This window comes from Homo sapiens, chromosome 15 (genome assembly GCF_000001405.40).
Source record: "Homo sapiens chromosome 15, GRCh38.p14 Primary Assembly".
Lineage (NCBI taxonomy): Eukaryota > Metazoa > Chordata > Mammalia > Primates > Hominidae > Homo > Homo sapiens.
The window spans coordinates 23974702-23996223 of NC_000015.10; the positions used below are offsets into that span (position 1 = coordinate 23974702).

The 21522-nt window shown below is 39.8% G+C and overlaps 1 long non-coding RNA gene across 1 annotated transcript in view; it reads left to right on the top strand.

Moving 5' to 3' along the window:
* Positions 1 to 445: 445 nt before the first annotated feature.
* The window catches only part of PWRN4 (Prader-Willi region non-protein coding RNA 4), a 113008-nt gene continuing 91931 nt past the window's right edge, over positions 446 to 21522 (top strand). The window contains exons 1-3 of the long non-coding RNA NR_126392.1: positions 446 to 554; positions 1446 to 1542; positions 4370 to 4510. This is a non-coding gene — a long non-coding RNA (Prader-Willi region non-protein coding RNA 4). The remainder of the gene's footprint in view (positions 555 to 1445; positions 1543 to 4369; positions 4511 to 21522) is intronic.

The following is a 21522-nucleotide window of genomic DNA, read 5'->3' on the forward strand; positions in this document are numbered from 1 at the left end:
TGCGCCTGGCCTGCTGCATGTTTTTATCATAGTGAGTTCAGGAATTCTCAGGTGTTGCTGCATCTTTTGAGATGACTATGTGGTTTTGTTTTTTATCATATTAATATAGTGCATGGCATTAATTGTACTTGAATGTTGAACCAAATGTTGCTTTCCTGAGGTAAATACCCTTGACATATTTTATAATACTTTTTACATGTTGCTGATTTGTTTTACTAGGATTTCCTTGATGATTTTTGGCTCTATATTCGTAAGGTGTGTTCTTAATTTTCATTATTTGAAATCTGTTTGTCTAGTTGCGGTATCAGGGTAAACCAACTCACAGTATAAATGAAATGCGATGCCTTCTCCACTTTGTTGTTGTTGTTTTTAACAACTTATTATAAATTAATATTAATTGTTAAGTGATTCCAATAACTGACTAATGAATTATCTTGACTGGGGCAAGGAAGCAAATCCTAGGAACAATCACGTGAGCTTGGAAGGAGACCTTTCCCCAGCTGAGCCTCAGCCTGGGCCATCACCTGCATCTGGACTGAAGACCCAAAGAAACTGTGAGTAATACGTGTGTGTTTTTTGAGCCACTTAGGTATATAGTAATTTGTTGTGCACCAAGTAATAAGTAATATAACTGACAGTAATTTTAAGATGGCATTCTGGATTAGGTGTGGAATAGATAAATACATCATTATCAGAAATCACGGTAAAATAGGAAGAAAGTTTGTAGATCAGCTGATGGTTTTGAAAAACAGTTAAAATTCTTAGTTTTCATTAAAACTATATTATGGTTATAATAGATAATAACATTGTAGTTAGCTGAAGGTTATACAAAACTCTCTGTACTACCAGTGCATCTTTATGTTAATGTGCAGTTATTTCAAAGTAAATGTTTTTTAAAATTATTAATTTGTTTTATAGAAATAAAATGAAGACATAAGGCAAAAATTTGGCCTCCAGAGACACAATAGCATGTAGGGTGAGAATAGCAAACTGGCTTTTCTTATCTAGTCACCTTTCTAAACCCAGGTGCACCTGCTTCAGGAAGGCACCATCAAGCTCCAGGGACTGTCATCCTCTTTCTCCGTCCCCATTATGCAGTCACCAGTTTGAATGTCAGCAACCCCTTTTTCAAAGAAAGTTGCCTTTCCTTCACATATCCCGGAAAGACCCATCTGTGGGCGTCATTTAGCAGTGTATATGCAGTCTCCCACTGAAGCCTTTTTGGGAGATAGACTCTGAGATACTAGAAGCCAAGAATAAGAAATTTCAGTGACAGGGAGCATAAATCATATTTCTGCCTTCTGGATAATGTTCTTGGTACAAGGGTACCAAGAAAGTACAAGAAGTACTTGTACTTCTTCTGCAAGTAATCAAAAGACAACTGTACTTTTAAACCTTTCAGGAAACCTGTACTAATATATATTTTTTTCTTTTTAACTCTACAGACTCCATCAGGAATTGTTTGAGACCATGCATTATGTGGACACTCATATCGTGGAATTATATTGCCAATTGGCATTCCTAAAGCTTCTACGCTAGCAGGTAGTAAGCAGAGTACAAAAAATATTTCTAATAGGGTGATTTAGGCCAGTCCCTGCTTACAGAAACCTGGATATAAATTTTTACACATCACGATTTTCTCAGGTGAATGTTAGGGAGTGATACACGTGCATTGTGTGTAAGTCAAGGAAGCTCAGTAGGAACAAAAACAAAAGAACAAGCAGCGTAGGATATACCCCCAACCCTCCATGCCGTGATCTTAGAGATGGGTACAGGCTGAGTGATGACTCAGTATATACTAGCAACTTCTTTTTTTTTTTAAAGACAGAGTCTCACTCTTTTGCCCAGGCTGGAGTGCAGCAGCGTGATGTTGGCTCACTGCAAGCTCTGCCTCCCAGGTTCATGCCATTCTCCTGCTTCAGCCTCCCAAGTAGCTGGGACTACAGGTGCCCGCCACCACGCCCAGCTAATTTTTTGTATTTTTAATAGAGATGGGGTTTCACCGTGTTAGTCAGGATGGTCTCTCGATCTCCTGACCTCGTGATACTATCTGCCTTGGCTTCCCAAAGTGCTGGGATTAGAGGTGTAAGCCACCGCACCCACCGCCCCCCTCCAACTTTTTTTTTATAAGACAGGGTCTCATTCTGTCTGTTGCCCCGGCTGGGGTGCAGTGGCATGATACTAGTTCAAGGCAGCCTTGAGCTCCTGGGCTCAAGTGATTCTTCTACCTCATCCTGTTGAGTGTCTAGGACTATAGGCATGTGCCACCATGCCAGGCTAATTTATTTTTACTTTTTACTTTTGTATAGGTGTAGTCTCCCTATGTTGCCTAGCCTTTTGTTGAAGTCCTGGCCTCTAGTGATCCTCTCACTTTGGCCTCTCAAAGTGCTGGAATTACAGGTGTGGTCTACCATGCCCAGCTGCCTTATCATGGTTAACGTTATTTGATCACCTGCATGAGGCAGTTTAGCTCAAGTTTACCACTACAAAATTAATATTTGTTCCTGTTTTCATGATGTATTTTTGGAAAAAAGTCATTATGAACAACACATATGTAGGAAGTAGGGAATTATGCTCCATCTCCTTATGAGCAAAAGTTCCATATATATCATTTGTATTTCTTCAAACATTTTTATACATTCTTTTGGGTGTTCTGGATTAAATGCATTTTCCTGTATATTTTAGAACCTGCAGTCCAGTTATCACAAAAAAATGGAAAACATGAAAGCTAGAATTTTTGTAGGGATTGTATTGAATCTGCATATACATTTGGAAAGTATAAGCATCTTGGTAAGTACCTAATAGCGTTCTCATCAAGGAAAATCTAGGTTTTTTTTTTCATTTATTCAGGATTTCTTTAATACTTCAGTATCACTTGTAATTTACAGTACATGTATATATAGTCTTGTACTTTTTTTTTTTGAGACAGAGTCTTGCACTGTTGCCCAGGCTGGAGTGCAGTGGTGCAATCTCACCTCACTGCAACTTCTACCTCCCAGGTTCAAGCAATTCTCCTGCCTCAGCCTCCCGAGTGGCTGGGATTACAGGCGCCCACCACCATGCCTGGCTAATTTTTTGTATTTTTTAGTGGAAACAGGGTTTCACTATTTTGGCCAGGCTGGTGTTGAACTCCTGACCTCATGATCTGCATGCCTCAAACTTACGTTAAATTTATTTCCAAATACATTTCCTTTTTGATGCCATGTTAAATGAATTTTTTTTAGTTTCTTTATTTGATTAGTTTGTATTTTTGTATTAGTTTGTTTCCCACTGCTGTAAAGATACTATATGAGACTGGGTAATTTATAAAGAAAAAAGGTTTAATTGACTCACAGTTCCACATGGCTGGGGAGGTCTTAGGAAACTTATACTCATGGCGGAAGGTGAAGGGGAAGCAGGCACCTTCTTCACAAGGTGGCGAGAAAGAGAGTGAAGAGGAAACTGCCAAACACCATCAGCTTTTTTGAGAACTCACTCACTATCCTGAGAACAGCACGGGGGAAACAATCCACATGGTCCAGTCACCTCCCACTCAGCCCCTCCCCCAACACAGGGGGATTTCAATTCCAGATGAGATTTAGGTGGGGACACAGAGTCAAACCATATCAATTGTATAAGAGTGCAATTTTTTTACATGAATCTTGCATCCTACAGGATTACTGAACTTTTTTAATGGTTCCTATCTCATTTTAGTGGATTCTTTAGGATTTTCTATACACTAGATTATTTACTGGGAAATAGAGATACTTTGATTTCTTCCTTCTCAATCTGGAAGTCTTAAATTTATTTGTCTAGGCTAGTTTTATCAATTAAATCTTAAAGAATAATTTTTAGTGGGAGTAGATAACCTTTTTATGTTTGTAATTTTCGAGAAATTACTGAGACTTTCTTGATACTATTGTTATGTGAGTTTTTCATAAATGACATTTTTATGTAAAGAACATTTCATTCTATGAAAAAGTCATTTAGTGTTTTTACTGTGAGTGGATTTTGGATTTGTCAAGTGCTTATTCTGCATCCTTAGAGGTGATAATGAGGCTTTATCATGTATTATATTGATATAATGTATTACAATAATTCTTTTTATATGTTTTACCAAATTTGCAATCTTGAGTAAATTAATACCTTTGTGTAACATATAACCCCTGTGTCATAATCCTGATTTGTGTTGAAATTATTTCCTTGAGGATTATTGCCTGGGTATCCATAAAGTATATTGGTTTAAATTTTTCCTTTTTTGGACTGTCTTTGTCTAGTTGTGGTATCAGAGGAAACTGTCTCACAGAATGCATTGCTTACTGGTCTCTTCTCTATGGTTTTTATCTTCTTGGAGAACAGTTAGTGAAAAATTGCTATTGATATTTTAAAGGTTTGGAGTAATTCACCAGTGAAGTCTTCTCAACCTGGGCAATCATGTGAGCTTGGAAGATGATGCATCCCCATCTCATCTTTCAGGTGAAACCTCAGCCTTGGCCATCACCTACATCTGGATTTCTGACCCAGAGAAACTGTAAGTAATGTGTGCATGCTTTTGAGCCACTAAGCTACATGGTAATTGGCTATGCTGCAATAAACAATAATACACTTGATGGTAAATGTAATATGTTATCCTGAATTGGATCAAAAAACAGAAAAATGGCATTGGGGAAAACCAGGTAAAATATGAAGACAGTCAGTACTTTAGTTAATAGTCCTATATACCTTTATCAATTTTTTGAGTTTTCACAGATATTCTTGTTTATGTATGATGTTAATATTACGGAAAGTTGAAGGGTATATGAAACTTTATGTAAGATCTCAGCAATTTTCTGTAAATTTAAAATTTTAAAATAAATAGAAGTGTAGACATTGCTCATATATTTGAGATCAGGACTTGCTGTTAACTTAATTGAGCCTTTGTGGAACCTAAAACACATGGTACAAATGCAGTAACGTTATAAAATATAAATGATATGATTTTCTATTTTATTCACTCGGGTTTTTTTTTGAGACGGAGTCTCACCCTTTCTCACAGGATGGAGTACAGTGGTGGGATCTTGGCTCACTGCACTTCCGCCTCCTGGGTTCAAGTGATTCTCCTGCCTCAGCTTCCCGAGTAGCTGGGACTACAGGCGGGCTAATTTTTTTGTGTGTTTATTTTTAGTTGAGATGGGGTTTCACCATGTTGGCCAGGCTGGCCTCAAACTCCTGACCTTGTGATCCGCCCGCCTCAGCCTCCCAATGTGCTGGGATTACAGCACCGCGCCCGGCCTATTCACTCTATTCTTCAGGGAACATGAAAGTCCATTTTTTTTCCAAAGCATCCAGAAGTACACTTGAGCTATGTAACAAGTAGACAACACAGAAGATGGAAACTATACTACATCTACATGTGCAGTAACTGATCTTAAAATGATTTGCATGATCATCATCCATGTGATTAAAATGACCACGGGAAAGAGGAAAAAGAAATGCAACTTTCTTGATTTAAAAATTCTAACTGGGCAGGTGTGGTGCTATGGGCATGTAGTTGCAGCTGCTTGGGAGGTTGGGCTGGATGATCACTTGACGTGAGGAGTTTTAGGCTGTAGTGTGCAGTGCTTGTGCCTGTGAGTAGCCATTGCACTCCAACCTGGGCAACATAGCGAGACTCGGTTTCTAAAATAATTAAATAAATAATAAATAAATGAATAATTGGATTTAGAGTGTAAGTTACAGAGATCGTTGCTTATATTTAGGGCTGCAATTCTCTAGATACAGATTTTTCTATGTATTTAAAGAGCTACCACTCCAGCACAGACTTTCAAGTACTGCTTTGCCATTTTTATTTTTCTCTCAATGGGTTCCTGGAATTACAGTTTGTAAAGTTATCTCATAGCGTATGTTTCATTTTTATTTCTGTTTGTTATTGATGTCTGTCTCTGGGTAGTGGCTATAATCTATAGCCTTGCCCAGTAGAACTCAGGCTTTGGTACAGGGTATGCTTTTCATGGGATGTTTATTCAACTTGGTTGATGGCCTAAAGCCTAATAATCCAACTTGCATCCAGGTATTTCTCTCACACAGTATACTTGCTTTTACTGGAAGACATCCTTGTAGCTCCTGTCAGACCTGTGTGTTATTTCTAACAAGATAGCCACTCTCTAGGAGAGTGCTGCCTGGGGAAAAAAAAGTGAGGTCTTCATGTGTTTGTAAAGCGACACACAGAGGAGGTAACTCAACAAAAGGTGTATAATGACATTAGTAATGTATTATTATTAACCAATCAAAGAGTGGAGGGCAGCATTCCTTGAAGCAGCAATAGGAAGGGAAGAGCTCTCCGGGACACACACTCACAAACAGTATGGGTGGTGGGGGAGCAACTACAGCAGACAGGGTAATGGGCCAGTCGGCTGAAGCCTTTATGGGTGTATTTCTCAGTTTTTTTTTTTAGAGAGACAGGACAAATGGTAGGTAGGATAGGTAGGTAGATAGATTAGATACATCGACAGATCAATACATAGATAGTTGATAGCAAGATAATAGAATAGTGGCATTTTTATTTGGGGATTCGCCCACATGATTATAGAGGCTGAGAATTCCCAGGACAGCCATTGGTAAGTTTATTATTTATTTATTTATTTATTTTGAGACGAAGTCTCGCTCTGTTGCCATGGCTGGAGTTTAGTGGCGCGATCTCAGCTCATTGCAAGCTCTGCCTCTCAGGTTCACACCATTATTCTGCCTCAGCCTCCCGAGTAGCTGGGACTACAGGCGTGCGCCATCATGCCCAGCTAATTTTTGTATTTTTAGTAGAGACAGGGTTTCACCGTGTTAGCCAGGATGGTCTCAATCTCCTGACCTCGTGATCCGCCCGCCTCAGACTCCCAAAGTGCTGGGATTACAGGCATGAGCCACTGTGCCCGGCCCATTTGTAAAGTTTAAGACTGTAGAATGTTACAGCATGGCTATAAGCCTGAGATCTTCAGAACCTGGAAAGCCCTTATTGTAATTCTCAGTTTATGACCAAAGGCCTGAGAATCCACAGGTTTCCCTCTTAAAAGTCCTGGAGTTTCAAGGTCAGAGAATTCAGAGTTCTGTCAAGGGCAGGAAAAGAAGTGTACCTGCCGAAGGGGGTGGGCAGGGATTGGGGGAGAGAGAGAGGGAGATAGCTTTTTTAAAACTTTCACTTTAGGTTATACTGGGTCATCAAGGGGATTGTATGGTGCCTGCTTCCATTATGGGTGTATTTTCCTCACTAAATTCCTTCCCTCACACAACAATCTCCTCTGGAAATACCCTGGCAGACACATCCAGAAGTAATGCTTTATCAGTTCTCTAGGTATTCTTTAATCTACATTAAATTAACCACGAAAAGCCCATCACCTTTCTACCTGGCACCTATATGTATCACCTTAAGCCATACTAATCTCCAAATACAGACAGTAATAAGGCAACATGATGCAATTATTCTGTATACAACCAAAACATACTAATCTGTTTTTTTAGAGTAGTAAAAGTTTGTGGGTGAAGTTTACTATTCTGATATCCCATAATTTCAATACAAATATGTTAAATTACTAATACTTAACTGCTACTATCAGATCAATGCATTCTTGGGTTATGTGATAAAAGAAGAGAGGGATGAAAACAAAGTTATTTGCCTAATATATGTATATAAACACACAAATGTATTCTTAAAGTAGATAGGAAATACTAGTGATAATTTTAATCCTTGTTTCTGTAACTGTTCACCTGGTCCTAACTGGTATTTATAAATTCCTTCCACTGCTCCCCACTCTGTATTCTCTTTGTGTTCAGCAAGCTCCTCAGCTGGTCTGAGGTCTTTACCTGGCAGGGTGATGCAGACCTTCATTCCTGAAAGATCTGGACCATTTGTACTGTTGCCGGGAATGGTTGTAGTTTTCCATTGAACTTAATAACAGGTCGTAGTAATACTAAGAGACTTTGTTTTAGCCCATTTTCTGTTACTTAAATACCTGGAACTGAGTAGTTGATAAAGAAGACATATATATTTCTTACAGTTATGGAGGCTGAAAAGTGGAACGTTTAGGGGCCACATGTGGTGAAGTCCTGTTGCTTCTTGGGACTCTCCAAAGAGTCCTGAAGCCATGCAGGGTATCATATGGCAATGCAGTGGAGCTTGCTAACATGGAAGATCAGGTCTCCCCTCTTACAAGCTATCAGTTTTTCTGTCTTAATAACACATTATTCTAAAACTCATCAGTGTATTAATCCATGAATGGATTAACTTAATCATAAGGGAAAACTCTTCATGATCCAGTCATCTTTTAAGGGTCTCACATCTCAGGACTGCCACATTAGGAATGAAGTTTAAACATGAGTTTGTGAGGAGAGCCCTCTACTTCTGGCTTTCTAAAAATCATGCCCTGTCACTTAAAAAAAATTGTTCCATTTCTATAGTTCAAGGCTTAAGTTGTTCCAGCACCAACCGAAAGTTCCAAAATCCAAAGTCTCATCTGTCAGCCTAACAAATCAAAACAAGTTATCTTCATACAAAATTCAGTGATTAGATTGTTAAGGCCCAATGGATTCATCTTGGCTGCTGCCCAGATAGAGCCACATTACCAAGACAGGGAAATTGCTATGTAGAGAAAACTTAGTACATGTAGAGCTGGCTAAAGGAGAGACCAGAGTTTTCTTATTACTCCAAACAGCCTCCCCAGATATTAAGAGGCTAGGGTTTTTATAGATAGTTTGGCATGCAAGGGGCTAGGGAAAGGGGAATGCTGATTGGTGGGTGTCAGGGATAAAATCTTAGGAAGTCAAAGTCATCTTCTCTTTCTGACTCAGTTCCTGGATGGGGGCCACATGTCCAGATGAGCCGGTTTACTGGTTTGGGTGGCACCTGCTGATCCATCAGTATGCAAGATCAGAAAAATATATCAAACACAAATCTTAGGTTTTACAATAGTAATGCTATTTATGGGAGCAATTGGGGAGGTTAGTAATATTGTGGCATCTGGATGTATGACTCCTGAGCCATACTTTATAACCCCATAGTTAATTTGTGAGTTTTACAAAGGCAATATGGTCTCCAAACAATGAGCGGTTTTGTTTCAGGAAAGAGCTGTTACTATCTTTGTTTCAAAGTTAAGCTATAAAATAAATTCCTCCCAAAGTTAGTTTGACTTTTGCCCATGATTGAACAAGGACAACTTGGAGGCTGAAGGCAAGATGAAGTCATTTAGGTCATCCCTCTCACTGTCACAATTTTGTCAGTGTTACAGTTTTTACAAAGATGATTTCAATTCTCTTTTTGGGGTTTTACTGCACATTATTCTTAAGGTGTGAGGCAGGCAGTTGGGAAGAGGCTGAAGACTAACTTCTTCCTGCCAACAGGGCTTGTACTTGGGATAGGGTTTGGCCCCAGGGTAAATGGAATGAAACTGCTTTGCAGCTGCCTGCATGTATTCACAGGTGCCTCGTTGGGGTTCCTAGGCTTGCATGACAAAGATGTTAGTACGCTCATCCACAATTTTAGTACAGCACTTAAGTGAGCAGCAGACTGTAGGACAATGAGTCCTAATGTAAGAAGTAGAAGTCCGAGCTTCAGAAGTCCTTATATAATTCATCTAAATTCCTGAGGGATTCAGGGGAATAGCCCCAAGAACCAGTCAGACATGGGGTCAGTAGTCAAGATAGATTTGAGCCATAAGTTGTTAGAAAGACAAATTGGAATAAATGGGAAAGAGTAAATTTATATATACCATTCCACATCTTTTTAGTTAATTTCCTAGTCCTGCAAATAGATTCATTCAGTTAAATATTTATGTTTCATTTTAGAAAGTAGAATTGCAGATGGACTAGGCCTCTATTTGTGATGAAGGCAGAAAAAATTTTTAATAACAGGCATTTGAACAGAAATAGAAAAAAACTACAAAGGTTAATGTTGAGCACAGTGTATCCACATGATAAACTCAAATATTTTTAAGGCAATGGCAGTCTGACATATTTTCAAATCACCTGTATCACAAGAAATAAGCATCTGCGTGCAGGGCTTCAGGAAAGAGGTAATAGCAATTTCATTGAGTCCAGGTCAGTAAAAATGGAAGAAAAATTGGAAAGTGTTAGTTTGGGGGTATTTGGCTCTGAAAGAGTTCAGAGTTTTCCAAAGTGCAGAAAATAATTAAAAGCTCAAAAACAATGGGCAAGACTAGAATCTTAACAACAGGTCTGCTATAGTATTTTTCTGAAATATAATTTTTCTTGTTCTAGTTCTCATTTTTATTAAAGACACATCATAGTAGGACACATTTATTTACAAAATAAGTTTTGGCATTATTATACCTAGCCTTATTATTTGCATAAAGTGAAGCAAGAATAATTATTTGCCATATTAGCTGTTTCTAAATTGGCTTTGCTGGAACTTTGTTTTAGATTAGACATTTTTAAAAGCCTTGAGTCAACCCATGGATTTATCTGTGTCTACAAATGCGTGTATGGATTGGGTGAATTCCTCTCTTCTTGACATCCCAAGATAACATGGGGATCGTAGACCTGTCAGAAAGTAACATTTTTCCCTATCTCTGGTCAGGAACCCTGTACAAAGACTGCGCAGACAAGGTATGAGGCCAGATTCCCCCCCAGGGCTTTCATCATTTCTATTAGTCAATTTGAATTCCTTAAGGCAGTCTGTTTATATGTGAAAGTATGTCATTCCACTGGTAAAATAGGCATATTTTGGTAAAATAACCAGTGTATCCAGTTGTTTCCTGTTATAAAAGAAAACAGATTCTTAAATGTAAATAACGAATTATCCATATGTTTAAAAAAAATAAACAATTTTCAAATTCTGGAGAAACCAGGCAGAGAGAAATAATGCTTCAAATTTTACTCACAGGAGTATACTTCACTCAGTTGTTAAAAGCTCAAAACAAAACTCAATTGTTAAAAGCTCAGCTGACACTGAAAAACAACAAAAAGGCTCTCCAAACAAAAAAGCTTCCTTGACACTGAAAAACAGCGACAACAAAAGGATCAGCAACATATATATATATATATTTTTGACAGAGTCTCACTCTGTCTCCAGGCTGGAGTGCAGTGGCACCATCTCGGCTCACTGTAATCTCTTCCTCCTGGGTTCAAGCAATTCTCCTGCCTCAACCTCTCGAGTAGCTGGGACTACAGGCGCCTGCCACCACACCCAACTATTTTTTTTTTTTATTTTTAGTAGAGACAGGGTTTTACCATGTTGGCCAGGATGGTCTCGATCTGCTGACCTGGTGATCTGCCTGCCTCAGCCTCCCAAAAGTGCTGTGATTACTGGCGTGAGCCACCACACCTGGCTGGATCAACAACATTTTAAGCAACAAATCATAAAAGGATTACTTCGGTCTCCTATTAGTTCAGTCCATGTAATTAACTCTTGTACTGCCTGACACTGGGCCAGTAGTCCTCATGAAAATATCAGCTATCTATGAAAGTATGTTTTTTCTATTTCACTGGCACAGTCTCTATCAGAAACCTGTATTCAAAGAACCTTTCATAAAGCAAATCACTTTTTGAAAAGGATCAAAATAATGCAACAGTTATCTGTGGATGACAAAGGTTTCAGGACAGCCATTGATTTTTAATTTTACTTTTACTTTTTTTTGAGACAGCATCTTAGTTAGTTACCCAGGCTGGAGTGCAGTGGCACAATCACGGCTCACTGCAGCCTCAACTTCCTGGGATCAAGAAATCCTCACACTTCAGTCCTCAGAGTAGCTGGGACTACATGCAAGTGCCACCACACTCAGCTATTTTTTTTTTTTTTTTGAGACAGAGTTTTGCTCTTGTTGCTCAGGCTGGAGTGCAATGGCACGATCTAGGCTCACCGTATTCTCTGCCTCCTGGGTTCAAGCAGTTCTCCTGCCTCAGCCTCCCAAGTAGCTGGGATTACAAGCATGTGCCACCACACCTGGCGAATTTTTTGTATTTTTAGCAGACCTGGGGTTTCTCCATGTTGGTCAGGCTGGTCTCAAACTCACGACCTCAGGTGATCCACCTGCCTCAGCCTCCCAAAGTGCTGGGATTACAAGCATGAGCCACCATGCTGGGTGACACTCAGCTAATTTTTATACTTATTTGTAGAGATGAGGTCTTTTTCAGGCTGGTCTCAAACTCCTGGGCTCAAGCAATCTTCCATACTTGGCCTCCAAAATGCTGGGATTACAGGCATGAGCCACCATGCCTGATGAGGACAGCCATTGTTAAAGACACAGTCAACAAGAAAATCTGGTCATCTCTGTGGCACATAATAATTTAACATAATCATAATTATTACTAATCACAATGAAATGAGGATTATAGGAATCATAATTTTGGAATACATATTTACATTTATATAAATATAATGCAAAGAAAATTCAACACCATTTTGTATTTGACAATGTTTTCTGTGTGGTCAATATACCAAATAAGGCAAATACGTCTTTTGGAGTTCAGCGGACCCAATACTTAAAAGGTTAATTAGGTAGAAAAAAAAAAGACTTAATTTACAATTTGATTTTTCAAAGTTTTTCAAATATTAAAGGTTTAAAACACTTCATATCACAAAATGGAATCCCAGATAACCACACATCATTTATTTAGAAAATAACTCAATTTCAAAAAGTCAAAAATCTCTACTCATTGATAGAGAAGGGAGACTCATCTCTCCAAACAAGAACCAATAAAGACAGCATGAGGCCGACCACATCTGTCTCTTCTCTCTCGGTGTTTTTCAGTTTATTTAAAAGGCGAACAAAAATATTTTATTATCCTTCAATATTATACAAAAGCCTTGTTCAAAGAAAAAAAAAAAACAAATTTTACCTCTGCATTAGTGTAGCGGGAAAATCAGAGAACTGGAGAGACCGAAGGGGTTCAGGAGGGTTTGTTTAAGGTGTACACCAGCTCAGTGGACTTGCATCCAGAAAGTCTGAGCATCAAACAAAGAAAGCACGTGCCTTTTATGCATTTGGGGCAGGAAAAACATGAAGTGGGAAGCAGATTTACAGAAGTGAGAACAAAAGCAGTTAATCTTCTTGTGACATGTCTTACATCTTGGGGAAAAAACATGTTTTGCAGCTTGTGCTTATCTTGTGGCCTTGCAGCTGCACAGCTAGAAAAACAGGAACTTACAAAATTTGCAGAGGGTAGATATGGTTAGTGTTTCACAGAAGGGCAATTAATAGTCTGTCTTAACTCCATTTTCGGGGTAGGGGTTACCTATAGCCCTCTTAGCCCAGGCTTAGCATTCTATGGAAGAAACTATTACTATGTCATTACTGTTTCATTTTTACTATTTCTGTTATTATTATTCTCTCTGCTTCATTAGTGTACTATTAATATTAAACCCAATTTTTATATAAAACCTTATAAACACATTATCTAATCTAAATCAGTTTGATTATAAAGTAAGAGTTTCATAAATATTTTATGGCATTTTACAATTGTATACTAAAGAGCAGATTAATGCTCCATGAAAACTCCATTTATCACACACAGGGCTGCAGACTCTGGGCCTATATCAGTGTACATTTTATTTTAATGTTTATTCTGTAGAAAAACTAAGTAATCCCTGGCTGGGCACGGTGGCTCAAGCCTGTAATCCCAGCACTTTGGGAGGCTAAGGTGGGCAGATCACAAGGTCAGTAGATCAAGATCATCTTGGATAACACGGTGAAACCCCATCTCTACTAAAAAAAATAGCCGGGTGTGGTGGCGGGCACCTGTAGTCCCAGCTATTCGGGAGGCTGAGGCAGGAGAATGGTGTGAACCTGGGAGGCGGAGCTTGCAGTGAGCCGAGATCGTGCCACTGCACTCCAGCCTGGATGACAGAGCAAGACTCTGTCTCAAAAAAAAAAAAAAAAAAAAAAAAAAAAGAAAAACTAATCCCCTTCAAATTTTGGCAGCTTGCTCATACACAGAACTTTCTTTACAAGTTCAATCTTTTATAAATCTATAAGTTGCTTAAACCTTCAGGTTTTCCTTTTTAACTTGAGATGATTTTTTAAAATCCTCTAAATTAGACAAAATTATTTTAACATTTTTATGTCTTTGTATAATTTTTTACCAAAACATATAATTTTTATATACCTTTCATGTAAATCTTTTTTCAGTAGTCTCAATTATGTATATTACAATGTAGAGTCTTAACAACTTTTATTTTTAGTGAACTCAGTGTTAATTTTGTACCAAGTACAGAGCCTAGGACACAGGACAGAACTGTAGATAATATCGGACCCTTTCCAGCATAGTTACAGGGCATAGCTAACTCAACATGTCCCCCAGTCCTTATCTAGAAGCTAATGCCTCTAATGCAGGCAGATTAGGCAATTATAAAAAGTCTCAGAAGCAGTTTATAACCTTAAATCATTTGGCAAAGACAGTATCTGACCTGCCTAATTTAGACCAAATATTTAAATATTGAAGACATTTTAATTTTATTTTACCAATAATCTATAAAACTGTCTTTATTATTCACAGATTATTAGAGTCATGTGAACTAAAAGGCAATGTAGTTAATTTTCTTGTGATAAAATATTTAAGTGCATTATATAGACATGCCAATTCATTAGAGCTCTTTTAAATATTTTGGTAGTGAAATATTATACTTATGAAGCATATCAATAAACAGACATAGAGAAGCTGTGACTTCAATGTGTCCTTTCAGACTGGGTGCCTGACATGAATAAAAAATTCCAACCCTCCATATGTGGGAGAAAAAGGGACAGTACTCTCACATGGTTACAAAGTTAAGTTCTCAAGGACAAAAAATGAGAAAAGAGGAAAATGTCACTTTTTTTTTTTTTCAGGAACCTGCAAGAAAGTTTGTAACTAACCAGTGCGCAGGGCCAGCTCAAACACTGAGTTTTTAGGGGTCTTAGGCCTACGTTCTATTCTGTGGTACTCCTCTCTATGACAGATTGACAACCGAATGACAAAAAGTTTAGTCACATAGATCTGTTTTTCTTCTAATCAAAACTTGCAGAGGAGACAAACAGTGACTTTTACAATTCATTCCACTGGTTTTGCACAGGGAGAGGTTGGCTGGTAAGAAATTTTTACTTTTTTGCTAGCTTGCCAGTTTTCCAAGTTCCCTTTGCAGCTTCCAGGAGAATGGAGCAACTTTTGATGACCCTGTTTTCTGCACCATATCTGTGGGGGCCAAGCTGTGTTACAAAATTTTGCAAGATGCCACCCAGTGGGCCGCAATGGGAACCAAATTAACACTCCTCATGTTGGCCAGAGCAAAATGCATGTGACAAAATACAGATACTAATCACCCCACTCACCATCAAAGTATTGATTTGGCAAAGCTTTAACTTGTTGCCATTGGCCCCTGTCATCTTTGATCCACTCAAGATAGGGAGAGATGACCTCCAAAAAGTAGTTTCAATGGGTGCTCCCCAGGTAACATGGAAGGGTGGATGGTCACCCTCAGTTAGACCTATTCAGCTCCTGCTAGCAGTTCCTGTAACGCTCACTAAACCCGAATGATCAGACAAACTAGGAAAGCCTGCAGTAATTCCATCAACAATTTCTTCAGAGATCTCCTCCATACATGCAAACTCCCTCAATGAAATACAGAAAAACAGAAGGCCTTCCAAACCAAAATTTCTGATCAAATCCAAACCAGAAGAGTATTCCTCCAAACGTGTCCCCTATTCCCTTCCAACTGGAGAGAGAAATCTCCTCAAACCAAGACTCTTACTACAATTCAGGGAGATACAGGCAGACCCCATGATGGGGCCACAGTACCTTTGAGGCCAACAGAGCCTCTTCCTGCAATCTAGGGAGAGCTGGACAGTTCCCATGATAGAGCTGCAATGCCTCTAGAGGGGCCAACAGATCAGGAGAAGTGGAATACTCACCAAACCAGCTAACATTTTTCATTCCAGGAATTATTTCTCTATTCCAGTTAGATCCATACACTGTGGGTAAGTAGCACCCTGCTGGTAGATACAGTGCCAGAGACAGCCTTTATTTGAAGAGAACTAGGCAGAAAATTGGGCTGTTCTCCAGATCTGCCACTAGTGAGAGATTGGCAAACACAAGGGATATATCCCTATGAGCTCCTAAGTTTGTAATGGCCTCATGGGTTCATCTTGACTGATGCCCAGATGGAGCCAATTTATCAAGAGGGGAATTACTATAGAGAAAGGGTTTGATACTTGTAGAGCCAGGTAAACAAGAGACAAGATTTATATTATTACTCAAAGCAAGCTTCCAAAAAAATCTGAGGTTAGGATTTTTTTGTAGATAATTTGGAATGCAGGAGGCTGGAGAATGGGGAATTTAGATTATTTGGGTCAGAGATGAAATTATAGTAAGCAGATAGGAGGACAGATAGGCAACAGGAGGACATCTCCTCTTGCATTGTGTCAGTTCCTGTGTGGGGGCCACAAGTCCAGATGAGACAGGTTACTGTTTCGGGAAGCACCAGCTGATTCATCAGAATACAAGGTCCGAAAAATCCCTCAAACTACAATCTTAGGTTTTACTGTATTAATAGGTTATCTATAGGAGCCGCTGGGGAGGTTAATAGTCTTGTGGCCTCTGGCTTTATGACTCCTGAGTAATACTTTCTAATCTTGTGGTTATTTTCGTGTGTTTGCAGGAGTGGTCTAGTCCCCAAACAATGAGGGGATTTGTTTCAGGGAGGTTCTCTTGTCATCTTCGTTTCAAAGTTAAGCTAGCAACTAAATTCCTCCCAAAGTTAGTTTGGCCTTTTCCCAGGAATGAACAAAGGCAGCTTAGAGGTTAAAAGGCAAGATGGCGTCAACTTAGGTCATCTCTCTTTCACTGTCATAATTTTCTGTTACCATTTTTGCAAAGGCAATTTCAGGATAAGCATAATGTACACATTCCCTTTCTAAAAGAGAGAAATGGACAAAAAGTAACAGTCTTCAAGCAAATTTGAAATCGAGCAGGGCAACCATTACATCTTAAAGCTGGGGAATATTTTTTTGACTCTTTCTCTGACTCCTGAACACACTGGGGTAAAGGTTGGACTCACAGGCCCTCGGGTACTATCACTCCTATGGCTTTGCTTGGTACATTCTCCGTGGGTGCTTGTACAGGTTGCAGTCAGGTACATGAAGTTTTCCAGGGCAGACATTGCATGCTGTAGGTGACTACACATTTCTGGGGGGTCCCGGTAGTGGTACCACTTCCTCAACTTTGCTAAGCATTACCCACATGGAACTCTGCAGTGACCTCACTGCTGTGGCTTCACTTAGCATTGCCCTGGTGGGCACCCCTTGCAGTAGCTCTAACCCCACATTTGTGTTTGGCATCCCTCTATTTGGGACTCTCTTCAGTGGATCTGGCCCTGTGACAAGTGTCTTTTTGGACTTCCAGGCTTTCAGAGAAATCCTTTGAAATTTGTAGAAACTGCCAAGCCTCTACATATCTTCATTTCTGTAAGCCTACATGATTAGCACCACATGGACACCTCCAAGGTTTAGGGCTTGTACCTCCCAGAGCTCTGGGACATAAGCTCCACCTGGGTTTATGGTAAGCATCTGGAATGAGCAGAGCAACATCCTAACAATGTGCAGGGCAGTGGCCCAGGCTGTCCCCAGAAACCACCCTGTCCCCTTAGGCCTGTCGGCCTGCAATGGATGAGGCAGCCTAGAAAATGACTGAAATGGTTGTAGGGGCCTCTTTCCCGTTGTCTTGACTACTAACAGCTGGCTGTGCTTTAGCCATTGTAATTTCTGGCAAGCTATGGCTCTGCGACATCCTTGGATTTTTCTCCTGAAAATGCTCTTTCATTCTCTACCACATGGCTAGGCTGAAAATTTTTAGAATTTTTCTGTGTGTGTGTGTGTGTGTGTGTGTGTGTGTGTGTTTGTGTGTGTTTTCTCTAGCAGTTCACCTTAAGCAGTTAGAAGTAACCACACACACAGCTTAGAAGTAATATGAACACTTTGTGGCTTTAGAAATTTTTTCTGCCAGATTACCTAGTTCTTCAGTCAGTAGTCAGTGTCTTTACAAAGCCCTTGGCATGGACACAGTTCAGCAAAGTTATTTGCCAAATTTTTTTTCTTTTATTATTATACTTTAAGTTTTAGGGTACATGTGCATATTGTGCAGGTTAGTTACATATGTATACATGTGCCACGCTGGTGAGCTGTACCCACTAACTCGTCATCTAGCATTAGGTATATCTCCCAGTGCTATCCCTCCCCCCTCCCCCCACCCCACAACAGTCCCCAGAGTGTGATGTTCCCATTCCTGTGTCCATGTGATCTCATTGTTCAATTCCCACCTATGAGTGAGAATATGCGGTGTTTGGTTTTTTGTTCTTGAGAGAGTTTACTGAGAATGATGATTTCCAGTTTCATCCATGTCCCTACAAAGGACATGAACTCATCCTTTTTATGGCTGCATAGTATTCCATGGTGTATATGTGCCACATTTTCTTAATCCAGTCTATCATTGTTGGACATTTGGGTTGGTTCCAAGTCTCTATTGTGAATAGTGCCGCAATAAACATACGTGTGCATGTGTCTTTATAGCAGCATGATTTATAGTCCTTTGGGTATATAGCCAGTAATGGGATGGCTGGGTCAAATGGTGTTTCTAGTTCTAGATCCCTGAGGAATCGCCACACTGACTTCCACGATGGTTGAACTAGTTTACAGTCCCACCAACAGTGTAAAAGTGTTCCTATTTCTCCACATCCTCTCCAGCACCTGTTGTTTCCTGACTTTTTAATGATTGCCATTCTAACTGGTGTGAGATGGTATCTCATTGTGGTTTTGATTTGCATTTCTCTGATGGCCAGTGATGATGAGCATTTTTTCATGTGTTTTTTGGCTGCATAAATGTCTTCTTTTGAGAAGTGTCTGTTCATGTCCTTTGCCCACTTTTTGATGGGGTTGTTTGTTTTTTTCTTGTAAATTTGAGTTCATTGTAGATTCTGGATATTAGCCCTTTGTCAGATGAGTAGGTTGCAAAAATTTTTTCCCATTTTGTAGGTTGCCTGTTCACTCTGATGGTAGTTTCTTTTGCTGTGCAGAAGCTCTTTAGTTTAATTAGATCCCATTTGAGCCCTCAGAAATAACGCCGCATATCTACAACTATCTGATCTTTGACAAACCTGAGAAAAACAAGCAATGGGGAAAGGATTCCCTATTTAATAAATGGTGCTGGGAAAACTGGCTAGCCATATGTAGAAAGCTGAAACTGGATCCCTTCCTTACACCTTATACAAAAATTAATTCAAGATGGATTAAAGACTTAAACGTTCAACCTAAAACCATAAAAACCCTAGAAGAAAACCTAGGCAATACCATTCAGGACATAGGCATGGGCAAGGACTTCATGTCTAAAACACCAAAAGCAATGGCAACAAAAGACAAAATTGCCAATTTTTAACAGAGATGTTCTTTAGTTTCCAATATTGTTTTTCCTTAGTTGTGATACAGCTCCGATGAGTGGAGGAACACTAGGGCTCTTCTCTCACGCCAAATTAGATAAGATGACATGGACACACATGGAGTGGTTTTAAGGAGTGGAGAGTTTAATAGGCAAGAAGGGAAAAGAAAGAAAACAGAGGGAGGGCAGCTCCAAATCCAAGAGAGGAGACCCCATGTGCCACGGAAAAGTGGCTGCTTATATGAGTAGGCTGGAGGAGGTGGTGTCTGATTTGCGTAGGGCTCAAGGGATGGGTTTGACCAGGCAAGTCACTCAAGTAGCCCTCAAAAAAACTGGCCCTCCCACCCTAGACTTTTAATATGCAAATGCAGAGCACCATGATGTTTTAACACATGGGGATATGTGGGGGTGGCCATGTTGCCAGGCACATGTGGGGGCAAGGAAGAAGAGGGCAGGAATCACCATCTTTGGGTAGACTCAGTTTCTAATGGCCCGTATTTGCATATCAAAGGTTGCAGACCTGGCTCTAAGAGCCAGGGCTTTCCTGCTAGACAAGAAACGTTTCTGGAGCTGCTTTAAAAGACACACAAACTTTCCAAGGACCCCTTTTCCACTGTATTTGCTTAATAACTCCTATAACAGTTGCATCTGAAACCTTGTCAGCATAGCCTTTAGTCTCCATAGTTTTATCAGCAGTCTGGTCAAAACCACTTCATCAATCTCTAAGGACTTCCAAATACTTCCCAGTCTTTTTGTCTTCTGAATTGTCACAAGAACACAGGGTTTTTCTAGTCTGCCTCTCAAGGTTCTTTTAGCCTCTGCCCACAACCCAGTTTGAAAGCCACTTTCACATTTTTAGATACTCAGTTTCAACAGCAACCTATTTCTTATTACCAATTTTCTGTATTAGTCCCTTTTTTCTGCTTATAACAGGATACAAAATATTGGGTCATTTATAAAGAAAATAAATGTATTTCTTATGATAATACACTGATAACTTACATCAGCTGTTAAGTCCGAGGCTGAGGGGCCACATCTGGTGAGAGCCTCTTGCTGGTGGGGACTCTCTAAAGAGTCCTCATGACATGCAGGATATCAGCTGGTTAGGGGGCTGTTAGAAACAAGTGCTTGGTGTTGCTAAGAAAAAGGAGCACTTAGAAAATTTCTTAGCAAGGCACATTTGCTTCTGCAGAAGGGTGCTGCCTGTGTCTGTCTAATGGCAAGAGTACACTGAGTGGGGTAGGGCAGGGGTTTTTATCCTTAATGCAATCTCTGTTGCTATGTCCTTTCCCCATTGGCTGGAGTTAGACCACACAATCTAAGCTAACCTGATTGGCTACTGTTGGAAATTGAATATGGTTAATTAGGCAGGAAGGGAGAGGCTGTTCGTTGCTAAGGTAGGAAGGGTTGTTTACAGAACAAATACAAGGCATGTCTGGGCACAGCGAAGGGTTGTTTACAGAGTAATAGATTTGCTAGTTAAAGATTAAGGAGAGAAACATGCTTGTTACAGATCAAGCAGAAAAGGCTGTATGTAGAGCCAGAAAGACCAAGAAAGCTTTGAAGAGGAACTTATTATTTCTGGCAGGGCTGAGCATGCTAATGCAGGTCTTTTTTCCTTTAACAAAACCACCAATGGCCCTCACATGATAACCCGTTAATTTATGTATCCATGAATGAATGGATTCATCCTTGAGGGCAGGCCAGTCATGATTGATTGAAACACCTCTTAAAGGCCACACCTCTGAATAACTGCCACACTGGGAATTACATTTCACAATGAGTTTGGTAGGGGACAAATATTTCAAACACAGAAGACACAAGGAGATCTGTATTCCAGACATACTCTTCTGTCCTCCATTGTGGAGTACTTGTCCAATTTCCCCCTGGTAATCTGGATCAATTACCCCAAACAACAGTGCAACCCCCCTTCTTAGGCTGTTGGTTCAGGGACCTGAAGATTTGAAAGTGGCTAGGTGGGCCATTCTCATTATAATCTATTGATTCCTGAACTATATGTAAATTCTGGTTTGGGGAGAAACAGCACCATATAATGGGTGCTGATTCACGGGACGTATAGCCTTCCAGAGAACCTTGCAACAGTCTCCTAAAGTACTGTCACCTAGCAAGTGCTGGACCCGAAGTCTCCAAAGGACATCCCGTAAT